Raw genomic sequence first — 16456 nt, forward strand, 5'->3', positions numbered from 1 at the left:
TTCACAGAATTGGAAACAACTACTTTAAAGTTCATATGGCACCAAAAAAGAGCCCGCATTGCCAAGACAATCCTAAGCCAAAAGAGCAAAGCTGGAGGCATCACGCTACCTGACTTCAAACTATACTACAAGGCTACAGTAACCAAAACAGCAGGGTACTGGTACCAAAACGGAGATATAGACCAATGGAACAGAACAGAGCCTTCAGAAATAATACCACACATCTACAACTATCTGATCTTTGACAAACCTGACAAAAACAAGAAATGGGGAAAGGATTTCCTATTTAATAAATGGTGCTGGGAAAAGTGGCTAGCCATATGTAGAAAGCTGAAACTGGATCCCTTCCTTACACCTTATACAAAAATTAATTCAAGATGGATTAAAGACTTAAATATTAGACCTAAAACCATAAAAACCCTAGAAGAAAACCTAGGCAATACCATTTAGGACATAGGCATGGGCAAAGACTTCATGTCTAAAACACCAAAAGCAATGGCAACAAAAGCCAAAATAGACAAATGGGATCTCATTAAACTAAAGAGCTTCTGCACAGCAAAAGAAACTACCATCAGAGTGAACAGGCAACCTACAGAATGGGAGAAAATTTTTGCAAGCTACCCATCTGACAAAGGGCTAATACCCAGAATCTACAAAGAACTCAAACAAATTTAGAAGAAAAAAACAACCCCATCAACAAGTGGGCGAAGGATATGAACAGACACTTCTCAAAAGAAGACATTTATGCAGCCAAAAGACACATGAAAAAATGCTCATCATCACTGGCCATCAGAGAAATGCAAATCAAAACCACAATGAGATACCATCTCACACCAGTTAGAATGGCAATCATTAAAAAGTCAGGAAACAACAGGTGCTGGAGAGGACGTGGAGAAATAGGAACACTTTTACACTGTTGGTGGGACTGTAAACTAGTTCAACCATTGTGGAAGACAGTGTGGCAATTTCTCAAGGATCTTGAACTAGAAATACCATTTGACCCACCAATCCCATTACTGGGTATATACCCAAAGGATTATAAATCATGCTGCTATAAAGACACATACACATGTATGTTTATTGTGGCAGTATTCACAGTAGCAAAGACTTGGAACCAACCCAAATGTCCATCAATGATAGACTGGATTAAGAAAATGTGGCACATATACACCATGGAATACTGTGCAGCCATAAGAAAGGATGAGTTCATGTCCTTTGTAGGGACATGGATGAAGCTGGAAACCATCATTCTCAGCAAACTGTTGCAAGAACAGAAAACCAAACACCACAGGTTCTCACTCATAGGTGGGAATTGAACAATGAGAACACTTGGACACAGGAAGGGGAACATCACACACCGGGACCTACCGTGGGGTGGGGGGAGCGGGGAGAGATAGCATTAGGAGATACACCTAATGTAAATGACAAGTTAATGGGTGCAGCACACCAACATGGCACATGTATACATATGTAACGAACCTGCACGTTGTGCACATGTACCCTAGAACTTAAAGTATAATAAAAAAAATTAAAAAGAAATTTCCTGGAACTAGCATGTCAGAATACCATTTTATGTCCAGCTTAAAGTTTAGTGTGAACCTTGAATTTTATTTCATTTCTATTTATATTCAGGTTTCTAAAGAACAAGTTTCCATGAACAAATGTGGCTTTCAACAGGTGAAATGATTTGAGTAATAGAAAAAAATTAGAATTTGAAAAATTTGAAGAATTTAAAAAGTTAACATATTTGAAGAATATGAAATACTAACATTAGGGAAGATTAGTTTGATACTTTTAATTTAGGAACTATTAGAGAAAGGGGAAAGACAACTAATATTTTAGGTGATTCTATTTAGATAAATGGCAAAATCCGCCTTGGAAAAGCTACATAATAAATATACAAGTCATTTGTAAACTATTCGGATCACTTAGGTGCTTTATGGTTAGTATTCATATTTTAAAATTAATGTACATTACAGCAAAATAACTGTTTTGTTTTAATATTTATATGCATTCTATATAAGGGATAACCTTTTGAATTGTAAAAAGTGAAACCTACAAAGTAAAACCTACACCTATTATACTATGATTTGCATGATGTAAGGCTATAAATGTATATTCCTTTTTCTGAACTATTCTTTCAAGGGTTGCAGTAGTACTGTCAGCTGCTGATTTTTCTTTTTGAACTTAAACACAGCTTTTGTCATTGTCATGGAAATGTTACCATGTTCTTTATTTTAAAATGTATTTATAAAAAATATGAATTACTTTTTAAATAGTAATAACTACTCTTACTAGTGATATATATTACTTTCAGTAGATGTATTATATATTACTCTTAGTAATATTATATATGTATACTTTAATAAACATGTAAAAAGCATGCAATGCTAAGCTCATTAGTAATATATTAGTAATGATACATAGCAAGCTTGTTCAACCCATGACCCGTGGGTCACATGCGTCCCAGGACGTTTTTCTAGCCCAACACAAATTCGAAAACTTCCTTGAAACATTATTAGATTTTTTTTGCAATTTTTTTTAAGCTCATCGGGTGTCATTAATGTTAGTGTATTTTATATGTGACCCAAGACAATTCTTTTTTTAGTGTGGACACCCCTGATATATAGTTGTACTTGATTGTTCCCAAGGGTTTTTACCACAGGAACAGAGGAAGGTCACATAATAGGTAATATAAGCTGATGATGAATTTTACTCATAATTTAATGGCCAGCTGTCTCAGAATTTAAGATTTATTTTGTTTGGTGTTGAACTCTATAGGTATAAAGTAAGCCTCCAATGTGGTAAGTGATGTCAGTACAGTGCATTCTTCAAACAGTAAAGTCAATCCTGATTTCTTGAGTGGTATGTTTGAAATACCAAATTCCTTATTGAAATGGACAGAATGAAGGACTTGGCTCACAGCAGGCAACAGGCAACATCTTGTACATTCTAATTTTTGCAAAGAAAGAACGAAGTTGGAGGACTCATACTACTTGATTCTGACGTACTAGGTAAACATAGAGTAATCAAAATAGTGTGGTATTGGCATGGGTTGGGCATATAGATCAGTGAAACAGAATAAGGAGCCCAGAAGTAGATCCACACATAAATGGTCAGTTGATTTTCAGCAGAAATGCCAAGGTAATTCAGTAGGGAAAGGATTTCGACATAAAGTGTTAGAATAACTGAGTATCTATACACAAAATACAGCAGGTCCTTGAATAATGGTTCATTCAACATTGTATTGTACTTACAACGTTCATGAGGAAAAAACCTGATTCCTGGCAGGGGCCATTGTGTGGAGTTTGCATCTTCTCCCGTGTCTGTGTGGGCTTTCTCCGTGTATTCTGGTTCCCTCCTAAATTTCAGAGATGTGCATGTTAAGTGAATTGGTGTGCCTAAATTGTCCCCACCTGAGTGAGTGAGGGGGTGTGGGGGTTATGTGAAAGTGTGCCCAGTGATGCAGGAGCATCCTGTCCAGGGATGGTTCACACCCTGTGCCCTGGGCTGCTGGAACTCTTCAGCCACCCTCTACCCTGAACTGGAATAAGTGGGTAAACAATACTCTAACTTGTTTTTTATTAACTTTTCTTAACTGTATGTATAGCTCACATTTATTTCAATGCTTGATATTAGAAATATTTTGGTCTTTATTTAGTAAATTTTGGTGATGTTGTGACCAGAAATATGACATAGGAACTTAAATCTTGTTTATGTCAATTAGCCTGTGGTTAAATTGGTTTCAGTATATGTCATTTCACATAAAGTTGCAGTTTCCAAGAACCTATCCACAACATTAAGCGAAGACTTACTGTATTGAACCTTGATTGTGACCTCACATCATCCATAGTTATGCATTGTATAATGACATTTTGATGAACAACAGTCCTCATATATAATGGTGGTTCCAGAAGATTATGATAGAGCTGAAAAATTCCTGTCACCTAATTGAGGTTGTAGTCATCGTAGCATCGTCAGACAGTGCATTACTCACATGTTTGTGGTGATGCTGGTGGAAACAAACTTGTGCTGCCAGCAAATATAATTATATGTAGTACATACTTGATAATAAACAACTGTGTTCCTGGTTTATGTATTTACTGTACTTTTTATTGTTATTTTAGAGTGTACTCCTTATTTTTTTAAAGTTAACTCTAAAACAGCCTCAGGCAGTTCTTTCAGGAGGTATTGCAGGAGAAGGCATTGTTATAGGAGATGACAGCTCTATGTGTATGTTATTGCTCATGAGGACCCTACAGTGGAACAGGATGTGGCGGTGGAAGACAGTAGTGATATATATGCTCCTGAGCCTGTGTGAGCCTAGGCTAATGTGTATGTTTGTGTCTTAGTTTTTACAAAAAAAGTTTAAAAAATTAAATAAAATAACTTTTAAAAATAAAAAAGCTTATAGACAAATACAAAGGAAAATATTTTTGTACAGCTATACACTGTGTTTGTGTTTTAAGCTCAGTGTTACTACAGAAGAATCAGAAAGTTAAAAAAAAATTTTAAGTTGACATAGTAAAAAAGTTACAGCCAGGCTCACACCTGTAATGCCAGCACTTTTAGGAGGTTAAGGGGGGAGGATTATTTGAGGCCAGAAGTTTGAGGCCAGCCTGGGCAATATAGCAAGACACCATCTCTACAAAAAATTTAAAAATTAGCGGGCATGGTGGCATATGCCTGTAGTCCCAGGTGCTTGGGAGGCTGAGGTGGGAGGACCACTTGAGCCCAGGAGTTCAAGATTGCAGTGAACTATGATCATACCACTGCACTCTGGTCTGAGTGACAAAGTCAGATCTTGTCTCTAAGCACAAAATAAAAGTTATAGTAAGCTAAAGTTAATTTATTATTGTGGAAGAAAAGTATTTTTGTATAAATTTAGTATAGCCTAAGTGTTTATAAAGCCTGCAGTAGTGCACAGATACATCCTACGCCTTCACTACTCACCCCTGACTCACCCAGACCAACTTCCAGTCCTGAAAGCTCCATTGTGGTAAGTGCCCAATACAAGTGTACCACTTTTTATCTTTTATATCATTTTTACTGTACCTTTCCTGTGTGTTTAGATACACAAATCACATTGTTTTACAGTTGCCTACAGTATTCTATATAATAACATACTGTGTGAGTTTGTAGCCTGGGAGCAATAGGCTATACCATATAACCTAAGTGTGTAGTAGGCTGTACCATCTAGCTTTGTGTAAATACGCTATGATGTTTGAAAAATGACAAAATCCCCGAATGACACATTTCTGAGGTCATATTCTTGTTGTTAAACATTAAGTGACACATGACCATACAAAAATTAATTCAAAATGGGTCATTGACCTAAATGTAGGAGCTAAAGCTATAACTTCTAGAATATAATGTAAGAGCAAAATTTTATGCCCTTGGATTAAGTAAAAATCTCTTAGGACAAAAGCAAGAAATAAAATAATTGGCAGGTGGAACTTAAAGTAAAAGACACTGTTGAGAAGATGAAAAGGCAAATCACAGAAAGGGAGAAAATAATTTGAAAACCTCTGTCTGATAAAAGACTTGTATCCAGAACATGCAAGTCTTAACATACAAGTCTTATATCTTAATAGACAAACCAATTTAAAATGGACAAAAGATTTGAATAGAGATGTTACTGATGAAGCTGTATGAATAACAGTGGTGCTTACACATCATTAGTCGTTAGAAAAATGCAAATTAAAACCACGATGAAATACAACTACATACTGACTAGAATGGTTAAAATAATTATAAAAAAACAGGATGAGGAAGGATGTGTAGCCGTTGAAACTCTCATACATTACCATTGAGAAGGCAAAATGGTATGGCCACTTGGGATAACAGTTTTGGGGTTTCTTACTATAAACATACACTTACTACCATGTGACTCAGTGTTACTGGTTAAATTACATCCTCCAAAATGGTATGTTTAAGTCCTAACCTCCAGTACCTCAGAATGTGACCTTTTTTTTTTTTTTTTTTTTTTTTTGGAAATAGGGTCATTGCAGTGGAACGAGGAAACATTTTTGGGGTGGTGGATATGCTCTATATCATGGTTGTAGTGATGTTACAGGACTATACATTTGTCAAAACTTAGCAGTGTTTATTTCAAAATGGTGAATAAATTTTATAAATAAATTTATACTTCAAAGCTGATTAAAAACATTTGAAAAATACAATAAATGGCTACATTGAAAATGTAATGAATATACTTTTAGTTCAAAAAGTGGGTGCAGACGAGCATTCTGGCTCCTGGAGCGGCTGGGAGGGCGACTTATAACTAGAATGCCTGTGGTCGAATGTAAAAACATTGTCTTAAGAGTGTACAGGGACTGGTGTGGTGGCTCACGCCTGTAATCCCAGCACTTTGGGATTTCGAGGTGGGCAGATTGCTTGAACTCAGGAGTTTGAGACCATCCTGAGCAACATGGCGAGACTCCCATCTCTACAAAAAAACAAGTGTACAAATGCTAATTTTGGCTATGATAAAATTTCTAATAGTGTCACTTGCAAAGTCGAAAAATTCATCTCAATAATTTTATAATGACAAAGACACTGATGTCTAGGAGTTAAATAAAATTTTCGTAAAATGTCATCCCGTGGTATCCTTGGGGGATTGGTTCTGGGACTTCCACAGATACCAAAATTCTCAAAATACTCAAGTTCCTTATATAAAATGGCATACTATTTGCATATAACCTATGTATATCTTCTGGTATACTTTGATTACTTATAATACCAAATACAATATAAATAATAGTTGTTAAACTGTATTGGCTTTTTATTTGTGTGATTTCTTATTAGTTTTTTTCTGCATATTTTCTGTTTGTGGTTGGTTGAATCTGTGTATGTAGAACCCATGGGTACAGAGGGCTGACTGTATTTATAATTTACCACATGGGGTGATTTTTAATATCTGTAGCTAATAATTATTTTAAGTGGCCATTTGACTGTTTCCTTGACATTCCTAAAAATTTATATACTTAAATTGGGGAGGAAAATATGTTTGCGTTCTTCTTAGTGGATAAATGGAAGATTGCGTTATAGTCATATATTCATAGAGCTTTCTGATATACCCAGTTAAGCAATTTTGATACATCCTTCTTCGTCCTTCCACGGGACATTGACCTGTCTCTAGTTCTGCACATGTTACACTGTATTGCATTTAGCCTTTTCATAACAATAAATTCAATTAGATGTCATTTATTTCTTTTATCCCTACTACAGTGCCTGGCTTATGATGTACATAAAATAAATATTAGTGGATAGGAAAATTTTTTTATAAAGAATCAATTTTTTGCCACAGTGCATTTTTTCATGGTTGACATTTATTCAAGAAGCATTTATTGAGCAACTCTTATGTGGAAAGCATTATACTGGCTGCTTTGAGATATATAAAAGAACTATAACATCTAAACATTTAATGTTAGAATGAAATGTAATTTCTATTTAGTATAAGGTATACTACAAATTATAGGATGAAGGTGGGTAATCACTAGAGGTTTCAGATGGATCATAGGTAAAAAATACTGGAAAAACAGTTTAGTCTGATGACAAAGGAAATCACTTTTTAGTAGCTATGGTATTCAAAATAATCATAGTTTAAAATGTCATTTAACAGTTTCTGGAATTTTTATAAAATCATTCTCCTTGCTGTCATATTGTTAGATCCAGAGAGTTAGACTGTGCAGTAAATGAGCTATTTTTTTACCTTAGAAAAGCAGAAGACTTGAATTTTCATAAGTAGACTCTTAGAGGTTCCTTCTGATGCTTCAGCACATTTCCTTTTCTCCAAAGAAATGCTTCAGGGCCGAGTGCAGTGGCTGACGCCTGTAATCCCAGCACTTTGGGAGACCCAGGCGGGCGAATCACGAGGTCAGGAGATCAAAACCATCCTGGCCAGCATGATGAAACCCAGTCTCTACCAAAAATAAAAAAATTAGACGGGTGTGGCAGCACGTGCCTGTAGTCCCAGCTACTTGGGTGGCTGAGGCAGGAGAATTGCTTGAACCCGGGAGGCAGAGGCTGCAGTGAGCCGAGATCATGCCACTAACGACAGAGCAAGACTCCGTCTCAAAAAAAAAAAAAAAAAAAGATAGATTTTTTTTTTCTTCATATAGAGTGTCAAATAGCGCTTGAACCAAAGCCCTTTACCTCTCCTCATAGGGGCATTGAACAGTAATAGAAGCTTAGAACATACTACTTTTTATATAGATGTCAGTATAGATCTATTTTAATTGTTAAAATGGATGTCAGGGTTTTCTGTGAGCAGTGTGCAACATAAGGAATTTTTTTTTTTGAGATGGAGTCTCTCTCCGTCGCCCAGGCTAGATTGTAGTGGCACAACCGGCTCACTGCAACCTCTGCCTCCCAGGTCCAAGCAATTCTCCTGCCTCAGCCTCCCCAGTAGCTGGGATTACAGCACGCACCACCATGCCAGGCTAATTTTTGTATTTTTAGTGGAGACAGGGTTTCACCATGTTGGCCAGGCTGGTCTCGAACTCCTGACCTTATGATCCGCCTGCCTCAGCCTCCCAGAGTGCTGGGATTGATTACAGGTGTGATGTTGCACACTGCTCACAAAAACTGTGGTAAGCTCTTTTCAAATAAGAATTATATTTTTGGCCAGTGCTTTCACTAGGTGAATTGAATGACAACCAAACCACTGTCAGGAGGCAGCGTGGTCTGGAAGAGCAGTGGAGTGTGAGTCAAAACACCTCATCCTTGCCATCACAAAGTGTGGAGAGTCATCTCAGCAGACCTTAGTACTGTTGACTATAAACATTATTGTGATATACCTACCCTAATTTAGACTGGAAAGCAAGTGTAAATGAGGATATAATTGTGGAGCCTTCTGCATTTGTCAAAACTAAGAAATTAATATTGGTAACTTAATATTAACTAAACTCCTGGCTTTATACCAGTTTTTCCACTAATGTCCTTTTTGTTTCAGGATATCACATTGCATTTAATTGTCACATCTCTTAAGTCTACCCTATCCCCATCAGTCATTCTAAGCTTTCCAGATGTTTGAAAATTAATGTTTGCCTTGTCTTAGGAATCAGAGAATATGTGCTGAGCATTGCTCAGTCTTTCCTTGTTAATTCAAGGGTATTGTGAAGCATCAGTTAATATTCTGTGCCTTCAGAGGCTGTTTACATGTTTAAAGTTTTCTGACTTTAAGTGGCTGTGCTCTTCTGGTTAGCCCCCCATCAGTGTGACCTAATCAAAAAGCCAAACAGCAATCTGTACTAGAGTTCAAAAAGAGGGAGAAGTCCCTTTTGGAATTAGGGAAGTCCTTCTATTTATTAATTGAATTCAGATAAAGAATATTGAAAGAGGCAGTAGTCATCAGGGAGGTAGGAAGAAATGGCATGAGCAAAGTCCTGAGAAGTTTTCTAAGGATGCTGGTGAAAGAGTGCCAAACTGGAAGTCATGGAACAGGTTAGAATTCAGGTTCTGCCACGTATTAGCTCTGGAGCCTTGAGCAAGCACCTGACCTCAGTTTCCTCATTTGTAAGACTAGGGACCCATACTAAATGATATCTAAAGACCTTTCAATTCTGAACATCCATAATTGAGTCCCAGGCCAAATGTGCTAAGTATCTGGGTTGGAAGTAGTGATAAAGAAAATTACATAATAGTAGGAGCTGTCAGCTTCACTATAACCCCAAAGGCAGGTGCCATCACATACAGATGGAGAAAAATTGAGTAATTTGCACAACGTCACACATCTGGTAAATGCAACCAGATTTTTAGATCTTGTGTGATTTCCAAGCCTTTTCAATACAGTTTACTGCTTCCTCTTTTATTGTTACAAGAAAGATTGTTCAGAAGAACTTTCAGGATGTCTGGTGAGCAAGGAAGCTTAAAAGTCAAGTCTTATGCCTGCACAACTAGAAAAATAAATGAAAGTGCCATTTAAAAAATTGTTTTAAATAAAAGTATATAACAGGTTGAGCATCTCTGATCTGAAATCTGAAATGCTCCAAGACGTGAAACTTTTTGAGTTCCAACATGATGCTACGAGTTAACCTGAACACATTTTTTCATTGTATCCATGGTATGTTCTATTTTTTTACTAAATACTTACATGTGAATAAATATAAGAAAATGAATGCTTACTAGTAGCATATAAATTCAAGAGTAAGGAATGATGGTGATGCCAGTCAACCAGATTGTCCACATGAGTGGCTGAGATACAGTGCTTTCTGATGGCTTAGTGTGTTCAAATCTGTTTCATGCACAAAATTATTTAAAATATTGTATAAAATTACTTTCAGGCTTAGTGTATAAGATGTACATGAAACATAAATGAGTTTTGTGTTTAGACTTTGGTCTCATCCCCAGTATATCTCATTATGTATATGCAAATCTTCCAAAATCCAAAAATATAAAAAAAGTTAACACTTCTGGTCCTAAGCATTTTGGATGAGGGATACTTAACCTGAATTATTGTATAATATTTGATAAGACAAAAACACAAGAAAGTAAAATATAATAATTAACGATAATCACCATAGACATAATCAATGTTATTTCCACCCATCCTCTTTTAAAATACACATACTGTATACACATATACAAATTGTTTACACAATATGATTACTGGTGTGTATGTATAGTTTTGTGATCTACTCTTCTTTCTTAATCTGTCATGAATATTTCTCCATGTCATTAAACAGTCTTCAAAATCTTCAATTTTTTTCAGTGCCTACATCATGATTGATTGAAAACCGTAAGTGATTTAACCGTTATTTCGTTGGACATTTAAGTTATTTTGAGTTTCACTATTGTTATTTTGCTTTGAGCCTTCTTTTACAAAAACTTTTATTCACGTCTCTGTTTTTTGTCCTAGGATAGCTTCTTGGATGTGGGATTACTTAATCAAATGACTCTTGATACATGTGGCTAAGAATCTTTAAAAGGCTGTATTTCTCCTCCGATCTAGTGGTATTTGAGCATAACTGTCCCTCCACATTTTTCCCAAGTACTACAATTTCTGGTCTTTGGTAGGGCCAGGTTTTGTGTTAAAGATTATTTTTATTTTGTTGAGTTTGAGATGACGGTTGGTCAGAAAAAGTATAATGTTCAATAAGTACTGAAAAAGTGAATAGTGCAAAATATACAGTGCTACAACTAAAAATTTAGAAACTGACTATATGTAATTTATATAAAATAGGATGAAATCTCTAAGCGATAAATATATATAGTTTGTATTATCTATGGCACTATGTATGGCAAGAAGGATGCCAAATATCACTTCAGGGCAAACCCAGATCATAAGGGATAGAAGTGGAAAAAAAGAATCTTTAGTGGCAATAGAGAATACTAGAGGTGACAGATAGAATGCAGGTTTACTTTAATAGGAGATTGTGTTTTCTATAAGGCTTTATCCTAAGGAAGATTCAGTTTTAATTTACTGTGTAGAAACTACTTTTTGTAATTTCAAGATTTGTGACATAATTCCACTATTATGCTGATATAATTTTTTATGTCACTAGATTAGTGTATTGATCTTCTTAATGCATCTTTTGTTGTTTTGTATGCTTATAGATGGTAACATAATTCCTAAAGTCCCTGTGAATGGTTCTTACATTAATCACTATGTTAAAAGTCTTAATTGCTCACTAGTTTCTGATTTAGCTTACTGTACTCTCCAGTAATTGTTCAGTTCTAAGAATATTTTATGGCATAGTAGTTATATAATGTCAGTGGTGCACTGGTTAATGTTCTAGAATTAATAATACATTTTCTCTTTTCATATTATGTAGAATTTTCTAAATGTTAGAATTTAAAGTCAGAGAACTTACTAAGTGTTTACATAGGACACTAAAATAAGATTTTACCTTCCTCTAGTAGTATACCTTGTGTTTATGCTTTTACGTCTGCTGCTTTATAAGCAGAAAGAGAGGGAGGGAAATGGCAAGAAAGCATACAGCAGGAAGAGCTGAGAATCTTAAACTGTCATAATCTACTTTTTAAAGACAAATGTGTAAGCAAAATTACTTGTGCTGTGTATGAGTAAGAAGGTTGTAGAGACGTTTTCTCATTTGATCAATTTTAAAAAGCTGTTATATTATGCTGATTATTGTTACAGCTTTTTGAGGTGGTGATAGGGAAGTTTTCCAAGGAGGCTGGCATGCCCCTGGCTGAGCCCAGCAAAGCTGCATTACCTCAATAAATTCACCACAATCTAAAGATGTTAATGAGTTTTGGCAAAAGTTATAATAGCTTCTTACATCTTTCTGCACAATAGGAGTAACAGTTAGAGAGCCCAGGCAATTATGTCACATCTGAGGATTGGAATACTTTCTTGTTTTCATTCTTTTTTTCCCCATTCTTTCTGCATATCTGCTCTCCCCGTCTCCAGTTGTTTTGAATCATGGCTGAGCATTTTATCACCTGATGAGTTTTTAAAGCTCTGTAAGCTCAGACCAAGCCCCAGACTAATACATCAGAATCTCTAGGGGTGGGACCTGGTATTGGGTAAGTTTTTAAACTCCACAGGTGATTACATTTGGCAGCCAAGGTTGGGACCCATGGTTTCAGATGTAGTAACCACATCAATTAACTTAGTACCTCTTAAGAAGGTTGCTTATTAGAATAACCTGGGAGATTTTCTCCACACTGTTCCCTCCCTTCCACTTCCCTTATTAATTTAGTGAGCCAGTGTTAACTGATGGGAATATACACATACCCTTGGATATGTTGGGACAGAAAAAAAAAAGACAACAATCAATTTGTTAAGTACTATTTTTCCTACACTCTTTTTGGAATATAGTCTGCTTATATAAGTGACTTTGTATCTATCCAGCATTATTTTATGTGGATAATTTTGTGTTGTTCAGTATTTGCATAATCACTGTGAGGGCAAGGACCTTGTATGTTCTTCTGTTCATCACTGTATTTTCAGTACCCACTAGTGCCTGGCACATGGTAGATAATCAGTAAATGTTAGAAGAGTGAATCAGTAACACTGAGTACCCCACATAAGTGCCAGCTATAGTATGAAGCTTTGTAATTACATTGTCCACCAAGGAAAAAGATCTTCCATAAAGCCACAGATAAGCAGGAAATAGATTTATTGAATTTTGAGTCTTTCGCAGGTCAGGGATTCCGTGTAGGCATTAAGGTTCTGAACAAAAATGTAGCACAAAACACAAATACTTGCTAGCAGAAGATACATTTCCATACCTGCCCTCGTATATCAAACTGCAAAACATACAGAAAAAAACTAATGGACAAACAGGTGCTGTTAGAGTCTGTGTTTAGTTTAAGCCTCATGATAAACTGGGCTAGAGCTTGACACATTTATCAACTGTTAGTTGTATTTTACCTAATCATAGCCTGTCTTAAAGGCAGAAAATGAAAACAAGATGATCTGTCACATATGGTTAAGTTGTAATTCAGATTTACAATATATTGGCGAAATGGCTTCAGTTTTGGATGAGCCCTTAAACTGTACAGTGTGCAAAGAATGGGGGAGGGAAGAGACCTAAGAAGGGTTAAGTAATCTTAGCCAAGATTTCTAAAAGCTCTTATTAATCTGATTTTTCAGAATTAGAAAATCTCTGTTGTCAGAGTTCTCCAGTTTGGGGTTTGATAAGAAAGCATATCATAGAAATTACTCTGCCTACCTAAAATCCTTTATGGTTTAGATTTTATTCTGTAGTGCCTTTACAGCACTCTTAGTGCTTCAGCCATAGCCCCAGTTTTGACTTATTGGGCCCCTGTCCCTCTTATTTTTCAAATTAAAAATTACACAGAAAACTATTCAGAGTAGAAAGAGTATAAGTGAAAACTAGGTTTCCTTTTCACTACAGAGCACCACATCCTTTTTAGAGGTAACCAGTATTAGCATTTCCTTCTGTATTTTTACAGAAAGAGTTAGTTCATATTGCCAGCATACACATGCAGGTAGTTTTTGTAGTTTATTGGCATGATCACCACATGACTAGATGACGTCTTTAGTTTCTAACACACTTTTCAAACCCAGCTTCTTTCCATATCTCTTCATGTAATTAATCTCTCCTCTGCTTTGTTTCCATTTGCTTTTTTGTCCCTCTGTTAAACACCTGTTAGAGGTCTGACATGTATTATTGGGACTTAGGTGTGGTGGTCTCATCTCAGGTATCATCTCGCCTTCTTACTCTGTACTCTTTACCTAGCCTGGCTCATCCCACCTGCAGGACATTAAGGACCTGTGTATCAAGGTCTCACAAATTTATATCTATAGGACCAGGCCCCTTTATCTTACTTGTCTGTCTCTTTGACATACTTATCTTTTGGATATCTCATAAACTTCTTAGTCCCAGTGTATCCAAAACCAACTTTTTTTTCAACATCCATATCTTAGTTAATGGCATATACATTATCTCAGTCATAGCAGTCTGAAAACTATAAGCTATTCTCGAAACCCTCCTTTTCCTCACTTGTCCTATTTCAAAACGTAAGTCTGGTTGATTTTTGTTTTGTTTTGTTTTTTTCCTCCTAAATAACTCTCAAGTCCCTCTTCTTTGTCTCTGGTACCATATTAGTCTAGCCTATCATCATCTTTCACCCAGATTACTGCAGTGGTCCACCCACAGCCCCTCCGGGCCTCCTCCAGACCATTTTCCACAGAGCAGCCTGAGGAGGCCTTGCAAAATGTCCATATTAGTTTAACACTCCCCCTTTGTTGCTTAAAATCTTTTGATAGCTGCCTATTTCTTTTAATATAAAGACAAGTCTCCTTCATGTAGTCTTACAAGGTCCTGCCTAGACGTTTGTTACAGCTTCCCTCATTAGGTCGTTTCATTGTACTTCCCATGTTCTCTTCCCTTCTGCCACATTGTGCTTCCAGGCCCTGCTACTTGTTCCTGATGGCCTCAGGGCATTTTCCTATGCTTTGAAGTCCTCTTTCCCAGCCCTTTCCTTTCAGCTTCTACTGATAAACCCCCACTGGGGTATTTGAAATAATCTTTTAAATATTGCTTCCTCTGACTCTTCCCTTATCTCTCTAACATTTCCCCGGCATTCAACAAGGAATACCTTGCCTTTGTAGCGTTTTCTGTTTTATGTTTTTTTGTGAGTTTATTTGATTAAGATCTATATCCTCAGCTTGGCTGAAATCTCCATTGTATATTTAGTTTCTTGTACAGATTCCTAGCCCCAAATCGTAGACACTCAATAACTCCTTAATGAATGAATGAATTTGTTTTCTTTATTGAATCTAACAAGTACTGTATTTTGTATATTGTTAAAGCTTAAATACTTTTTTTGATTCAAAGTAAATTCATAGGTTCACAAGGCACAGTATGGATTAATAAGCAATACCATTTCCTGGTTGGTTGTTATAGAGATTACATAAGAATTCACACATTTACCAAAACGAGGTCATTCTTGGGAAGAGGAGTAGGAAGATAAAATCATGGGAACCACTAGCACATACCTAGGTCTGCCCTTTTAGTTAGTAGAATTATTTTTCTACGTTATTTCCCCAGCCACTCCTCTCACCCTAATTGTCTGTATTATAGCTTTCCCTAATTGTGAACTCCTAATTGCTTTCAACCTAAATAAATATGATTCTTTCTAAAACACTCAGGAATAACAACTGTTCACTTATAAACAGTTTTTGAAGTTTGGAAAGCAATATAGAGGTTTGGCTTTACTTTAGAAAAATATTACAGAAGCTACCTGTGTTCTCCGCCTACTTCACACATGCCCATTTAGCATTTGATGTACTTCATATAATTAAATTTGTTCTGCATCCTAAGGATTTTCCTGAGCCCCAGCCGCCTTGATAAGGTTGTTAAAATGAACAACTCATTGCTAAGATTACCTTTTCTCCCTCTCTTGGGCAGTAGAACTCAGCTGAGAGAATAGCGGCAACTAGGAGAAGAAAGGGTGATGGGTTGAGATTTCTGGAGATTTCAGCTGAGGGAGTAAAGAAGCTTCAGAGGATAAAGATATTCTTTATGTCACCATTAGCAGAGAAGTCAAGGATCTGCTGGACAGAGCAGCTTTTTGAGTGTAGGTATTTTAGCTAAGTTGGATATTATACACCACAATGAATGTGAATATAAAAAACAAGGGATTTAAGTGTGAAATTGTGACCACAGTATTGGCTAAAGACAATATACTTATAGATGTTGATATTTAATTTCACCACACCCACAGTTTATCCTGGCATCCCAGTGCCTGGTCCATAGTAGTTATTCACAATGTTGTTTAACTGACTGGACTTGGATGTGTGTTTGTGTGTGTTTTTTAAATTATTTCACCTTGTGTATGGTTGTACTTGTAGAAATGTTTTCATCTACATTTATATAAGTGTACAGTACTTTGCAATAAAAATACCTGTACCAGAATTCTTCTCTTACAAAGTGTTTCTTATGATTATACACAATAGACTTGACTGCGTTTGGATGATGACTGTCATAATAGGCCTTAAGATAGACAAAGCACAAGC

At 36.2% G+C, this 16456-nt stretch overlaps 1 protein-coding gene across 6 annotated transcripts in view; it reads left to right on the plus strand.

Annotated features, from left to right (window-relative positions):
- The window catches only part of UBE2E3 (ubiquitin conjugating enzyme E2 E3), an 83066-nt gene that overhangs the window by 52797 nt on the left and 13813 nt on the right, over nt 1–16456 (plus strand). The window contains exon 5 of one of the 6 annotated variants that reach the window (XM_017003167.3): nt 10715–10741. The exons of the other annotated variants lie outside the window; for them this stretch is intronic. Coding sequence (XP_016858656.1) covers nt 10715–10736 — 22 coding nt within the window. The 3' untranslated portion in view covers nt 10737–10741. Of the gene's footprint in view, nt 1–10714; nt 10742–16456 lie in introns of those variants that run through there. 6 annotated transcript variants of the gene reach the window in all.

The sequence above is a fragment of the Homo sapiens genome, chromosome 2, assembly GCF_000001405.40.
Source record: "Homo sapiens chromosome 2, GRCh38.p14 Primary Assembly".
In the NCBI taxonomy this organism is placed as follows: Eukaryota; Metazoa; Chordata; class Mammalia; order Primates; family Hominidae; genus Homo; species Homo sapiens.